The 16,370-nt window shown below is 37.8% G+C and overlaps 1 protein-coding gene across 59 annotated transcripts in view; it reads left to right on the forward strand.

Annotated features, from left to right (window-relative positions):
- DISP1 (dispatched RND transporter family member 1) overlaps positions 1-16,370 on the forward strand; it is a 190,957-nt gene that overhangs the window by 2,101 nt on the left and 172,486 nt on the right. For 12 of the 59 annotated variants that reach the window (NR_165109.1, NR_165134.1, NR_165122.1 and 9 more), the window contains exon 2: positions 6,745-6,806. The exons of 12 other annotated variants lie outside the window; for them this stretch is intronic. The gene's annotated coding sequence lies outside the window, so the exon portion shown is untranslated. Of the gene's footprint in view, positions 1-6,716; positions 6,807-7,062; positions 7,201-9,266; positions 9,385-10,288; positions 10,463-13,789; positions 13,904-13,965; positions 14,094-16,370 lie in introns of all 59 variants that reach the window. 35 more of the 59 variants (NR_165137.1, NR_165119.1, NR_165116.1 and 32 more) reach the window with 13 other exon arrangements.

Here is a 16,370-nt window from a genome sequence, read left to right on the forward strand (position 1 = left end):
TGTTTAGTAAATTTAGCTTTCTCTCTAGATAAATTATTTTTGTTATTCCGTAGGATTTAGATGTATTTTACAGTTTAACCAATAATGGCAGTTTTTGATTAAGTACAGCGAACTGCTGGCTATTTTATAGATTCACTATTTCTTTTTATTTCTGAAATATGTACAGTGTCTGTATTGGAAGAACTATCAAAATAGTGATAACCAAAACACTGTCTTCATATACACATACATTTGTCTTCCTTAATCTCTAGTTTGTAAAATACGAAATAATTTGCTAAGTTGAGCTCGTTGCTTCTATGCCCTTTGGTTATCAATTTTCTGATTATATAGTACGTTCTCAATTATCGGCATACTCTAGTTAGAAAGCCATTTCCTGCCACTTGATAGAATCAAGAATATTTGTTACAATGGGGAAGTACAGTTTTTGGATGAGGAGCTACGAAAGACTGCTGATCTGTTAACTTAAGGTCCAGCTGCTGCACTGCCTCTGATGAAAAGCATGGCCCTTAATGAGGTTGACTCACACAGGGTTGACTGCTTTTAGTAATACTTTCTGTCCTTTTCCTCTGGTGAGTTAGACCTTTTCTCCAATAGTGACCAAGATGACTTGGGCCTCAGAGTGACTCAAAAGGGGATGAATCACTGCAGTCCTGTTAGTAGGGCCCTGTCCATTCTGCTGAATCTGATCCCATAAATCTTGGCACATTTTCCAGCCTATAGGCATGTAGTTATGACTGTGAACCTCTTGTTTAGGTTATTGTTTTAAAAATACTTTTAATACTAAATCATAATTTGTTGGATTATATAAATAGACTCAGTTTTGCTTTGAGTGAGGCATCACATTACACTGTAGATGAACTTTTCTGTTAAAGTGATAGGCTATAACTCACAATGGCAAATATTGTAGAAAACACACTGATTGCCCTTAACCTTTGTTGTTATTATTAGTTTTGTTTTTAATTTTGAGAGCCTAAGGAATAGAAGAACTATTGGATAAATGATTTGCATGGGGGGGTGGGGGAAGTTGACCACTACCAGTGACATACTAGGGGTCTTGATGGTGGGAGCTGTCTGCTATAGTTGGAAAGAGTATTTTAGCACTGAGGTTTAGAATTGCCAGCTCCTGGTGATAATACAGCAGAAAGACTTTTAGTTGTTATTATAGTTTTTGAATACCACACAGATGATGCACTCCTTTGTTACCTGGAGAGGGCTGGGAGGGGAATCCCTCCCACCTCTTGTGTGAATGACCTGGTGGAGCCTCCCACCTCTTGTGTGAATGACCTGGTGGAGCCTCTTGAAGCAAAATAGTACCAGTTTGATTTTCACTGTGTTAGTGTATAATTATGGTTCTCCGGAGAAACAGACCAATATCACATATATATGTGTATTTTTAAAAGAGATTTATTTTAAGAAATTGGCTCATGCAGTTGTGGGAGTTGGCAAGTACAAAATTTGTAGGTCAGACCAGCAGGCTGGAAATTTAGGCAGGAGTTGATTCTGTAGTTTTGAGGCAGAATTCTTTCTTCTTTGGGAAACCTCAGGTTTTGCTCTTAAGGCCTTCAGCTGATTAGATGAGTCCTACCAACATTACGGAAGGTAATCTCCTTTACTTAAGGTCAACTGATTGTAGACATTAACTACATCTACAAAATATGTTTATAGCAACACCTAAATTGGTGTTTGATTAAATACCTGGGTGCTATAACCTAACCATGTTGACACATAAGGCTAACCATGACAGCATTTAAAATACTTTTGCTGTATTAAACTAATATGTGGCGTGTAAAATGTTGCATAGTCAATAGGAGAATATTGATATGGTTTGGCTCTGTGTCCCCACCCAAATCTCATGTCGAATTGTAATTCTCAGTGTTAGAGGTGGAGTCTGGTGGTAGGTGATTGGATCATGGAGGTGGTTTCTAATGGTTTAGCACCATCCCTCTAGTGTTGTCTCATGATAGAGTTCTCACAAAATCTGGTTGTTTAAAAGTGTGTCCCACCTGCCCCTGTGCTCGTCGTTTCTCCTGCTCCAGCCATGTAGGACACACTGGTTTCCTCTTCGCCTTCTGCAATGATTGTAAGTTTCCTGAGGCTTCCCCAGCTATGCTTCCTGTACAGCCTGTGGAATTGTGAGCCAATTAAACCTCTTTTCTTTATAAATTACCCATTCAGGTAGTTCTTTATAGCTGTGTGAGAATGGACTAATAAAAGTATCAAAATTCATAGCCCAGTTACTTTTTAAGGGATTTAAAAACAGTGAAAATCTGGGTTTTCATTATGTCAAAGAATGGAAAATGGACAATTTAATGGCCCCTCCACTCTCTGACATTTAAAAGTTACTCTTTTTTTGTGGTTTTAATATGTTATATACATACACACACACACACACACATATCTTTTTTTTTTTTTTTTTTTGACACAGTGTCTCGCTGTGTTGCCTAGGCTGGAGTGCAGTGGCACGATCTCAGCTCACTGCAAGCTCCGCCTCCTGGGTTCAAACGATGCTCCTGCCTCAGCCTCCCAGAGTAGCTGAGATTACAGGCACCCGCCACCATGCCTGACTAATTTTTGTGTTTTTAGCAGGGACAGGGTTTCACCATGTTGGCCTGGCTGGTCTTGAACTCTTGACCTCAAGTGATCCACCTGTCTCAGCCTCCCAAAGTGCTGGGATTACAGGCATGAGCCACTGCGCCGAGCTAATATGTTGTATATATATTTTTAATTTAAGGTGTTTAAAATTTTTTTTTAATTTTGTAACTATATTTTTAAAGTTTATGCTCTTGTTAATCTTTTTGCTTAAATATTTAGATCTGGGAATTAGTTTTGTGCTTATTTAGCCTGATTCCTTTCATTTATGTTCACCAAAAGGGTCCCAGAAAGGTGTAGTGATTTACCCAGTTACCATAGCTAGTAGAAGAACCAGAATTTGAGGCCAGATCTCCTTGTTTTCAATCCAGTGCCCTTTCAGCTACAAAAGTAGTTATAGTTAAGTGAAGCTAATCAAGGGCAGATTTTCTGTAAGGAGGGTGATTTTGAGTGTCTATTTAAGGGAGTATGAGTTGATTGTTACGAGAATGGAGGTGGTATTCGGGCTATTCAGTTACATTAGGGGAAGGATGAGCAGAGAGTAGATATATCATAAAATATCTAACTACGTAACTACTTGGGGCACATAGTGACGTGTGATACCCATGGGGCTTGAAAGGATTTTGCAAGTTAGCACAAGCTAGCCATTGGGTGATTCACAGGGGATATTTGAAAAGACCTTAAGGATAGGGAACACATGGACCAAGAGAAGTTACTGAGAGGGCTTCCTTTCTGGAGGAAGTTAAAGATAGAAAAGCATGGTGCTTTTGGAACCCAAGTGCTTGGAAACCCTCCAGAAGAGAATTTTAAGGACTCCTTGGGGGATAGAACATTATAGGACATAAATGGATATTCTAGAAGCTTGCCAGGTTTCAGGCATGAATTTGAGCTGAATTATGGTAATAATAATAATTGTCATTTGTTGCTCACTTGCAGCCTCAGCACAGTTAGAAGAAACCTTAGGCAAGTTACTGAACTTTATGCTTTACCTGCAAAATATGCATAGTAATACCTACCGTACATAGTCATTATAGGAAATACAAGATAATGTACATAATGTGCTTAGCATAATGCCTGCCACATAGTACTCAAGAAATTGTAGCATTTATTTTACTGTATCATGCAGGCTGGCTGAGGGTGTTACTAGAAGACATCACTAGAATGAGATCCCTTTTTTCTCCTACAGCTTTATGTTACTCCCACAGGTCTTTTTTATTTTTATTTTTTTAAACTTATTTTATTTTATTTTTTGTGACTCCAGAAATATGCTTATCCATCCCACGGGTCTTTGGCATGCTTTTGCCTTCAAGTTTATCATTTCTAAGCAGGTGCATGTCTCTGGCCATATGTAGAGTACTTCTCTACCTCTGTAATCAGCAGGCCTGTTGTTTTTGAATGAACAATGCACCTTTTGGCTGTATTTCATTGCAGATTCCATCTCTTCAAACTGAAGTGATGTTCTTAACTACAGTGCTGTCTCCAATTAATTCAGATGGGGTTGGGAAGAGGAATGGAAAGCACAAGCATGTGAAGTAACTTTTCTATTTAAAGGGTTCTTCCCTTCAGGTTTTGAGTAAACAACTATTTGAATAGAAATAAACTATTTTGACAGATGCCAGCTCCAAAGATAATTGGTTACAAAAGACATTTTCTGGGATGATGCATCATAAGATATGAAAGCACTTAGGAATGTGATGCGGTTTGGCTGTGTGTCTCCATTCAAATCTCATCTCGAATTGTAATCCCCATGTATCAAGAGAGGGACCTGGTTGAAGGTGATTGAATCATGGGAGTGGTTTGCCCTATGGTGTTCTCGTGATAGTGAAGTTCTCATGAGATCTGATGGTTTAAAAGTGGCAGTTTTCGGCCAGGTGCAGTGGCTCATGCCTGTAATTGCAGCACTTTGGGAGGCTGAGGTGGGTGGATCACTTGAGGTCAGGAGTTCAAGACCAGCCTGGCCAACATGGTGAAACTCTGTGTCTGCTAAAAATAATACAAATATTAGCCGGGTGTGGTGGCGGGCACCTGTAATCCCAGCTACTCAGGAGGCTGAGGCAGGAGAATTGCTTGAACTTGGGAGGCGGAGCCTGCAGTGAGCCAGGCTCGTGCCACTGCACTCCAGCCTGGATGACAGAGTGAGACTCCATCTCAAAAAAAAAAAAAAAAAAAAAAAGTGGCAGTTTTCCCTGAGCTCTCTCTCTTTTCTGCCACCATGTCACCATGTAAAACATGCCTTGGTTCCCCTTCACCTTCCACCATGATTGTAAGTTTCCTGGGGTCTCCCCTGCCATGCAGAACTGTGAGTCAATTAAACCTCTTGTTTACTCTTGTTTGTAAATTACCCAGTCTCAGGTAGTATCTTTATAGTAGTGTGAAAACGGAATATACAGGATTGAATGACATATTTGTGCTCAAGATCCAGTAGTGAGATTACTAGGTAGTAGGCATAGAGTATCTGCCTTAACTTTGTAGTGTAATTCTTTCTGAACCAGACCTGGAAACCATTTCACTTGTGTTCAGAAGGTTGGTAGAATTTGCATTTGACTCAGAGTGACATGGTGTGTTTAGCTATCATTCTCAGGAGCCTTTGCAGTGCTTGAAGATTTATTAGGAAGGGTTCTTTCTGGAACCCTTTAAGCTTGACAAGAACCTCTTTATATCATTTTGTATGCTAGGTTTTAAAATTAAGTTGAGAAATTTATGTATTTCTACATTTATAAGCAGAAAGAGTTTAGCAAAGCTTGACAGAGGCTTTTGAGGGAAGAAGTAAGTTTGAATGCTTTTCCTGTAATTCCAACTGTTTTTTAAAGATGTAATTATATAAACATTGAATTTTCAATGATAATGATTTTCATAAATGATTTAATACAATTTGATCATGAGCTAGAACAGCTTCATATATCCAGGCCTCAGTGTTTCAAATTATAAGGTTTTCTGTTTTACAATTCTACAGTTGATAAGTTTTGGTAATCTACAGCAGCATTTGATTTTCAGTGAGACATGCTGGCAAATTATTGCCTCTAAAATATCAGAGTGAGTGGTGTGATCATTATATTTGTTCCATAGCCTTTGCTGCACACCTTCTTAAAATCTCCTCCTTTTCCCTGCTCTGTTACTTTCTCCTTGGATAATGATGCTTTCTCATCTCCTAAGTGTCCATGCATTAAAATCATCAATTTCTCTTTCTTTTGTCCCTTAACCTCTCTCCCAAAGGAAATCTGCTTCTCTCGTAACTGTTAGCTAGTCTGAATTGTCTGAGTTAATTCAGAATAAATTGTGGAATGACTGATAGACCTAATTCCAAATTACATCAGGATGCAGAGAAAAGGGAACACTTGTACACTGTTGGTGGGAATATAAATTAGTACAAATTATTTGGAAGACAATATGGAGATTTCTCAGAGAACAAACAGTAGAACTACCATTTGATTCAGCAATCCCACTACTGAGTATGTACGCAAAGGAAAATTAATCATTATATCAGAAAGATACCTGAACTCAATATGTTTATTGCAGCACTGTTGACAACAGCAAAGATACGGAATCAACCTAAGCATCCATCATGGATGACTAGATAAAGAAAATGTGGTGTACACACAACACACACACACGAATACTGTGCAGCTTAAAAAAGAATGCAGTCATGTCTTTTGCAGCAACATAGATGGAACTGGAGGGCATTATCTTAAGAGAAATAACTTAGAAAGTCAAATACTACATGTTCTCACTTATAAGTGCTAAATAACATGTACACATGGAAGCAGAATGTAGAGTAATAGTCATTAAAGACTGGAAAGGGTGGGAGAGGGTGAGGGATGAGAAATTGTAAATGGGTACAACATACATTCTTTGGGTGATGGTTACACAAGAGGCCAGATTTCACCATTACACAATATATCCATGTAACAAAACTGCACTTGGACCCCTTAAATTTATGCAAATAAATAAAAATAAATAAGTAAAAAGCAAAAAAGTATATGTGTTTTGAAGTGAAGCTTGTAAAACTAAAAAGTCCTGTTCACCCAAAGAATTAGCAAAGTGTTTTAATATATGTAGATTGCTTCCTTGTTTACGTTGTTGCTTCAGATTTCTTTCTTTCCTTTTTTTTTTTTTTTTCGGACTCCTAGTATCTGAGAACATATTTCTTCCCTATAGGAGTTGAGAAGAGGAGGAAGAATAATGGGAGGAGACAGGACCTTTTTCAACTTGACAAATAGGTATAGCTACTTCTCATACGTTTTTTCTCCCTCCAGGTCCTCAGTAATCTCATTACATTTTTTTGTTTGTTTATTTAAATACTCTGATGACATATTATATGCCTTAGTTGCAGTTTCCCATCTCCCAACTTGTTATAAGATAAATACTTCTAATTTATATATTAAGTTACATATTAATTTGTGAAACTTATTTTACCTTGTTTTTCAGAACAGTAATAAGTTTTATTAACATGATAAATTTTTTTCCACCAAAGAGGAAAAGTTACCAGTAAATGTGTCCTACTTGTTGAAAATGCCTCTAATGATACTGGCCTCTATTTATTGATCATATATGCCAGACACTGCAGTGAGCATTTAATATATTATTCATTTCTTACAACAACCCTTATATAAGGTAGATGTTTATATTTCACTTTTGGAGAGATTAATTTGTCTAAGCTTGTGCTACCTGTAAATGGTGGAGCTTATTTTAAAGCCCTTCTGCTTTTGCTTATACACTGTTTTCTTCTACATTTCAAAAGCACCTTAAATGATTTGGTGCTGATACTTGAAGTACTTTTTAGAGAGAGTTAGCAGCATGTTGATTCTACATTTTTTTGTATATCTTCATACTCCTAAAAGTGTTTTATTTTCCATTTGTTCCACTTTAAGTATTTGTTAAATGTAATTCTTTTTTTTTTTCCAGGATGGTACCATAATTAATGTAGCATCTAGCATAGTTGAAAGTAGCAGATACTTTAAAAATATTTGCTGCATCAATTCAAAAGAATAACGAAAGGAGAGGTGGCAGTTAATGGTGGGGGGCTATTCACATAAAAATTCATTTCTGTTGGAATGTGAGGCTGGAACCTTTCTCATATTACAGCATGCTGCAGGGCAGGGCTAGAATCCAAGCTTTGATTAAAATCACCCAAACTCTTTTTTCTTTGCTTTACAACCACAAGTTATTGCCAGCTGAAAAGGATAATGGAGGGTAATGATGAATGCGTTTCCATCTGCCGCTACTGCAAAAAAAATTTTTTAGACAGTTTCATTCTTTTTAAACCTAGATAAAAAGGCTGTTTTGAAATGAAGAGTAAATTAGTGGCCACCAAATGAGTAGTTATTAGATTGTTGCCCTAGAAGCCTGTTCAGGTGATGCTGAGGGTGGTTGCTGCCAGTTAACAGTTCGGTCTCAAATAGTCTCTCCCCAGGGATGGGGAATGTGGGGGGGCAGTGGTGGGGGATGGTGGGGGTGGTATAAGAATTCAAGCATTCTTGAGAGTCTTTCTTTTTCATTCCCAACTGTAGGTTTTAGACATGTGTGTTACTTTCCCAGAAACTGCCTAGATTTTCATAGGCTGTCAAGGTCAAATATATTGATTTAGCCATTTCATAATATATATGTATATGAAAACATGTTGTATACCATAAATATATACAATTTTTATCTGTCAATAAATTTTAGAAAAGAAAGTCAAATGCAAACTGAACTTTAATAATTTTATGCAGTAGATCCTTTTTTAACTCACTGGAACCTGAGAGAACTAAGCCATTTGGAATAACCTGTTTCTCTTTTTTTTTTTTTTTTTTTGAGATGGAGTCTCACTCTGTCACCCAGGCTAGAGTGCAGTGGCACGATCTTGGCTCACTGCAACCTCTGCCTCCTGGGTTCAAGTGATTCTCGTGCCTCAGCCTCCTGAGTAGCTGGGATTGCAGGCGCCCACCACCACACCTGGCTAATTTTTTTGTATATTTGGTAGAGACGGGGTTTCACCATGTTGGCCAGGCTGGTCTCGAACTCCTGGCCTCAAGCAATCCGGCGGCCTCGGCCTCCCAAAGTGCTGGGATTATAGGCATGAGCCACCACTGTGCCCAGCTGAATAGCCTGTATCTCTAATACATTGTTAACCCAGCCTCCTCACCCCCTCAGCAGTTAAACTATGTGTGGGGCAGATTGAATTGCTGTGCTTACCAAATTGTTTGTTTGTTTTTGAGGCTGGGTCTTGCTCTGTCACCCAGACTGGAGTGCAGTGGTGAGATCATAGCCCACTACAGCCTTGACTTCCTGGGCTGAGGCAATCCTCCTGCCTTACCCTTCCAAGTTTCTGGGACTGTAGGTGTGTACCACCATGCATGGCTAATTTAAAAATTGTTTTGTAGAGACAGAGGTCTCGTTTCATTGCCTATGTTGGTCTTGAACTCCTGAGCTCAAGCTGTCCTCCCGTCTTGGCCTCCCAAAGTGTTGGGATTACAGGCTTGAGCCACCATGCCCAGCCTGGGTTTTTCTTCTTACTGTAGTTGATTATTCCTCATGGTTGCTCCTCCAGATGACTTCAGCAGCAGTGTAGTGTAGAAATATTCCATTAGTCCTTTAAGACTGTAACCTGATTATTAGTAATTAGAGCTCTGGGCTCAATTGCAGATTTGTAGTCTCCTTTACACTTTAATACTTTTTTTTTTTTTTTTTTTTTGAGACAGGGTCTCACTCTGTCACCTGGGCTGGAGTGCAGTGGCATGATTACAGCTCACTGCAGCTTCAACCTCCTGGGCTCGAGTGATCCTCTTGCCTCAGCCTCCTGAGTAGCTGGGACTACAGGTGTGTGCCACCATGCTCAGCTAATTTTTTTGTTTTTTAACTTCTTACAGAGATGGGGTTCTACTATGTTGCCCAGGCTGGTCTCAAACTCCTGGGTCAAACGAGCCTCCTGCCTCAGCCTCCCAAAGTCCTGGTATTTATAGACATGAGCCACCAGACCTGGCCTACACTTTAAGAATTTTTTAATGATTTGTGGTTGTTTGGTATTGGTCTTTACATTATTATATATCTGCTGAATGCTGTGTGATGGATATTAAAATTATCCACTCCTATCAGGGAGCTACTAACTAAAATGTAATTTCTTTAACCGTTGAATTTGGACAATCTGACTTCAGAGTTTTAGCTCTTAACTCCTTTACTATAAAGCTGATGCCTCCTGTTTCATAAATAATACAGCCCCTATTTAAGATTTCTACATATAACATTCCCCCATGTTATTTTCTATTAGAGTATGTGTATATATTGCAAGGTTTTCCATTTCTATTCTAATAAAACTTTCATCTTTAGTTTTAGTGGTTGTCAGTTGGTTTCTCACAAGACGTTTTCTGCCTTTAGCATTTTTATTTCAGGTAAAAGGATTATGTCACCTTGATGAGTTCTTGGCATATATGCTGTAAAGTTAGTCTTCTGTACCGGTAGAGACAAACAGTTAAAGCATGTACAGTACTTCTTTTGGATTATATTATAATTTGAGGAACAGATTTGCCATTTGAAGTTTGTCTTAGATACATAATTTTTATTCTGTAAATGTACAGATGGTGGAATTCTGGAAACATCCTGTGTTGAAGAGAAAAATTCCACTCAGAATTTAAAATTGGCCTTGGAGAATTATAAAAAGGGGTAGGGGCATGGATCATCCATATGTGGGTTATTGAATTAAATTTTTCACTTTTTTTGTTCTTAGAGTCAACTTTTATAACACTGTTACTGGGAATACTTGACTTACTAAGCTTTTACTGAACACTTTAATTTTGGGAGTACAATTTCTAAACTCACGAAATAATCTTCATGCAACAAGATGTTATTTTATCAAATTTTGGTATTACATGCTCATTCTTTGACAAATTTTAATTAACAGGTAAGTTATACATCTTTAAATTTATATAATTAATAATCATTTTTTATTTCTAGAACTGAGGTCAGGGGTAGTTAGCTATCTAAAAAGCAACAACTGGGTTTTATTTTATATGCATTGTTAATCGTGGCATTTTGCTGTGGAAGGGGCATTTGCATTAGATTTAACTTAATCTTGTGAAAATCTAAACATATTTAAGCAAAGTTTAGGGAAAATAAACTTGAGATACTACATATAATTTGATTTAGAAGCTTTTTAATCCTGAATAAGGAAGGAATACACAGAAAGTCAAGGAAAAATTCTATGTAATAGTTGTGATACTCAAGCTGAAAATAGTCTGATCCAGCAGCCTAAAAGAATGACCTCCTCACTGGTTGAGCATACTTCAGTGTCATGAAATGAAGAGGACGGGAAAAGGTGTCTGTGCATCTTTGTTTGAAGACTGTACTAGGTATAGTGTACTTGCATGTTAACTCAAATACTAGGCTAAAAAGTTTGTATTATTATTCCTCTTTTAAAGATGAGGAAACTGAAATTTTAAAAGCAGGTGACTTGTCTGTGGTTAGAAGAAATATATGCAGAATTGTGATTTATGCCCAGAATATCTGACTCCAAGACCTAAATTCTTTCTGCCATATCATATGCTTTCTACTTATCTTTTGTTTGTTTGTTTTTTATTCCATTTTCCCCCCTTTGAACTGTGTTGGAAGTTTTCTGTTCTATTTCTTTTTTTCTCTATGGTTACCGTAGAAATGTTAATATGCATACTTAACAAAGTCTAAATAAATGTAAATGCAATCTTTATCCTTCTCCTGAACCTCCTTCTGATAAGAACTATTTTTATCAGACATTATAGTTTTGGGACTTGATCTTTCAGCCCCAGAAATAACAGTGTTTATATTTACCCATATGCATTTAACCTTTTTTCCCTTGACCATTCCTTCATGTGTATCGATTGTAAGCTGAAATGTTTTTTAATTTACTCCCTCAGGAGCTTTATGTGAGATGGTCTTTGCTCAGGCTCTCCATTTCGTACAGGCCCTCAAGTTTTGCTGCCTATTACCCTATTTTCTATAGCTCCCCTCCCCATCAGGTTCATTCCACCAGGAATATGTAGATTCCCCAGGGGCACATTCGCTTTAGCACTAACTCACCTCTCTAGACTTGTACTTTTTAAAAAATTATTTCTGCCCTTGGAGCATTTCTCTTACTTTATTGTTGGCTCTTCTATACATTAAAAAAAAATTTTAAGTACTTAAATACAACAATTTTTGGTGATCTCCAGCCATGGGGCTGCATTGCCAGAAATAAAAGTCCACATTGTCATTGTGCTTCATGGGAGTATTTTGTATTGAACATGTGGGCTGGGGGATGGGTAGAGGATGTTTTTAAATTTATTTTAAAATAAGTTCCTAGAAACTGATGAAACTCTTTCATTTAGAGTCATAAGAAATAAACTATTTGTTTGATGAAGAAGCAACAGAGGACTTCCAAAAAGCACTTTTGAAAACTCCCCTTACTGAAGGTTTATATTAACTGCCCTCTAGAGGAAGAAAAAAATCTGAGAAAGATCTTTTAATAGGACATTAAGTATTGTTTTCCCTTGCACCTTTTTCTAAGATAAACAAGAACCAAGGATTACTTGCTCTGTGCATGGGATGCCATGTTGTAAAGTTTAGGTAGCAGATGCTCTAAGAAAATTTATAAAATTAAGGCTGAAATTACCATGAAAATGCCAAAACATCTTTGTATTGGAATTTTACAAAATTTGTTCTTAGGACTTAACTTCTTAAAACGTATCAGTTTTCAAAGAGATGGTAACTTTACTTCATCAGTTCTCTTTGAATGTTTTTTTTTTTTTCATGAGATAGAGTCCTACTCTGTTGCCCAGGCTGGAGTGCAGTGGCACGATCTCGGCTCACTGCAACCTCTGCCTTCCCAGGTTCTAGCGATTCTTCTGCCTCTTGAGTAGCTGGGATTACAGGCGTGCACCACCATGCCTGGCTAATTTTTTGTATTTTTAGTAGAGATGGGGGTCTCACCATGTTGGCCAGCCTGGTCTTGAACTCCTGACCTCAGGTGAGCCACCCACCTCAGCCTTCCAAAGTGCTAGGATTACAGGCATTAGCTACTGTGCCCAGCCAAGAAATAGAAAATAACTTTAGAGCAGTATTTTCTATATTCTATATTTTTTCATATATTCTTATATGATTACCTGCATAGGATACATGTGTTGTGTTTTGCTTTGCTTACCTGATAAAACACTGTTAAAAATAATATTTTAATTGAAAAGATGCTTAACCCACATTTTTTAATGGGTTAAGGTTAATGTTTTGTGGGTTTTTTTTAGCAGATGGTATTGATTTAGTGTTTTTGGCAATAATTTTGTTAGCACTGATAGAAAAGATGAGGATTTGAAAGGAAACAATTGCTTGCTTTGTAAGTTGTGATGTTCAGTAATGACTAAGTACATTCATTTGCACAGCCAGTACAAACTCCAGATGATTTTTTCCCTGCCTGTTCCTTAAGTGGGTCATGTGATTTGGTGTTTATCACTGACTTGAATATCTTCAAGTTTTACAAACCACATAACTTGACCATGAAATCAAGCAGTTCTTTCAAAGGACTCTTTGAAAGTAGATTTTATTTTTTTGGGGGGGTCATTTCAATGAAAAGAAGATTATGCAATTTGTGTATGGGTTTTGGAACTTTTCTCCCTTCCTTTCCTTCTTTTTATTTCATCTTTCTTTCCTGACTTCTTTCTTCCTTCCGTCCTTCCTTCCACCTTCCTTTTTTTTTTGAGACAGCGTCTCGCCCTGTCACCCAGGCTGGAGTGCCGTGGCCCGATCTCGGCTCCCTGCAATCTCCACCTCCCAGGTTCAAGCGATTCTCCTTCCTCAGCCTCCTGATTAGCTGGGACTATAGGCGCGTGTCACCATGCCCGGCTACTTTTTTGTATTTTTAGTAGAGACAAGGTTTAGTTATGTTGGTCAGGCTGGTCTCGAACTCCTGACTTCAAGTGATCCACCTGCCTCGGTCTCCCAAAGTGCTGGGATTACAGGCGTGAGCCACTGTGCCTGGCTCCTTCCACCCTCTTTAAAACAAGTTTCAATGCAGAGATTTCTGTGGTACTTTTTGGTTGGTCTTCCCAACACAGTCTCTGCCATTAGCAGTTAGCTTTTAGCGAGGCTGATAGGCCATTCATTTATTTTATAAAATCAATTTTTGTGTATGGTATTTGGTGGCCGTCTTTCAGAGATGACAGTGACTCAAGTGTCTGTGAGATTGTGACTGCTGCATTTTATTTAGATCTGGTCTTTTTTGTTTTAGGGATAATGGGAAAGGAGCCTAATCCTTAAAGAATGGTATCTAAATTTGTGAAGAACCTGCCTAAATTGTTATGGTGGCACATGTGACTGATGGATCTTTTGGATTTGAATGCCTGTAATGTTTTAAATATATGTTTACTATTAAAATTGTTCCTGGGTTCCTTCTTTCTTCTGTAGGATATGTATATGGATTAATTGTACAGAACCATTAACATGCTGACCTTTGTGCAAATGTGAAATACTTCTTTAATGGTTCTTTTAAAAACTGGGTTCTGTCAACGTTGAGAATTTCAGCACCATTATCTGTTAAGTTACTACCCCATTTTAAGTATTGCATAGTTTGACATATGTATGCACAAATACACATGTGGAATCATAAATTAAACGATATGTAAAAAATGGGGAGATTATTTCAGAGGTAGTAGGTTTATTTTTGAATAATAAGTGTATCTTAAATTCAGTAAATTAAATATATAATAAATGCCCATGATGTATAAGGAACTATGTTTGATGCTAGGTAGATTTATAAATAGCTGTAAGTTCTTATTTCTTATAGAATAAGGAATTGTCCATAAAGACCCTACAGCTTAGAACTGCTGAATTTAATAAGCTGTATACTAGTTTTTTGTCATTACTTTTAATGACAAAAACTGCAAGTACTTTTGTAACCCAATAGTAGTTCACATGAGAGACATTATCACAAGACAAAGAGATTAGAGAAAACTTTATACATAATGACTTGGGACTGGAACTTGAAGATAGGATTTGTAGAGGCATAGAGGTGTGGGGGACAAAGTACCCAGTAGAGGAAGCCTGAGACAGGATGGGAAGTTGCAGCATGTGTTTGAGGGACCAGTTTGGTTATAATATATGGGATACATTTTAGAGAGTAGGAAAAGATAAGATTGGGGCTAGGACATATAGGACCTTGAGTACCATCTTGAGAAAACTCTGAAGTTTGTGAAACAGTGAGGTGATTGGTCATCTATTCATTTGGTAAACAATTGAGTATCAGTTGTGTGCCAGGTACCAATTAAGCAGAAAAGTAGAGTGGGTAAGAATTACATAGCAGCTGGGCACGGTGGGTCATGCCTGTAATCCTAGCACTTTGGGAGGTCGAGGTGAGTGGATTACTTGAGGTCAGGAGTTAAAAACCAGCCTGGCCAACATGATGAAACCCCGTCTCTACTAAAAATTCAAAAAAAATGTGGTGGGCGCCTGTAATCCCAGCTACTTGGGAGGCTGAGGCAGGAGAATCACTTGAATATGGGAGGCGGAGGTTGCAGTGAGCCGAGATTGCACCACTGCACTCCAGCCCTGGGACAACTAAACTTCCAAGTTTAAGTCCTGATTTACTACTTGTTGGCTTAATGACCTTTTGTAAGTTTCTTAACCCTTTCAGATAGGTCTAAGTCTGTCTGTGATGATAAATTTGTTAAATCATCAAGTCATTGATTTTTATAAAAATTTCTAATGTTAAGGTCTAAGAAATTTTTATAAGAACTTTCATTTTTGGTTACTGGTCCTAAGAGAGAACTATTTTATCATGAATATCAAAAATTTTAGTATTTCACGTAGAAGTTTTTTAGTTGAGACCTTTTAAAATGCAGGATTACTTTAGCTAATTTGACTTCTTTTGGATATTGTTGAATTTAATTTTAAGTCAAATTTAAAATTAAAATGAAGGCCCGGCATGGTGGCTCACACCTATAATCCTAGCACTTTGGGAGGCCAAGGTGGGCGGATCACCTGAGGTCAGGAGTTCAAGACCAGCCTGGCCAACATGGCGAAGCCCTGTCTCTACTAAAAATACAAAAAATCAGCCAGGCGTGGTGGCTCATGCCTGTAGTCCCAGCTACTTGGGAGGCTGAGACATGAGACTCACTTGAACCCGGGAGGTGGAAGTTGCAGTGAGCCGAGGTCACGCCACTGCACTCCAGCTTTTGTGACAGAGTGAAACTCCATCTCAAAGAAATAAAAAATGAAAATAAATGTAAGTTAAATTAGATTACACATGTTAAATTTAAATTTAAATAAGTTGAAAATTAAAACCCAAACACACCTTAAATAAATCACAACCCAAATAATCTTGTACCCATCTCTTCAGCTGGAGGAGGGAATTGAGGCAATGGGGGTTCTGTGTTTGACTTCTGCGAACACAAGGTAGATGTTTATTTGTTATTGCTGCTGATGTTTAAATCAGAAAAGGTTAGAAACGCATACTGAGTAGGCAGAATTATAGCTTCCACACTCTGTTTTAGACAGATTGGGATAGATATCTGATTGTCTTTGAGAATAGACTTTTAACAAAGTGATAAGAGTTGAGATAAGTCACAAATATAACCTCACAGGAGTTCATATTAGTGTAGCAAAAGTGTGGGTATTATTAAGTAGGTTCTTCCGTACACCCTACTTTTTGTTCAAGGACATTTCTGTGGGTTCTGATCAATGGTATTTAGTGGTATTTAATATTTGTATGCCCCACAACCGCCCTCTAGTACCCTACATATTTATTACTATAAACTAACCTTTGATCTCTGATACTGTTGAATAGTTTAGTTATATATTCAAACTGTGTGGCA

Source organism: Homo sapiens, chromosome 1 (assembly GCF_000001405.40).
Source record: "Homo sapiens chromosome 1, GRCh38.p14 Primary Assembly".
Taxonomy (NCBI): domain Eukaryota; kingdom Metazoa; phylum Chordata; class Mammalia; order Primates; family Hominidae; genus Homo; species Homo sapiens.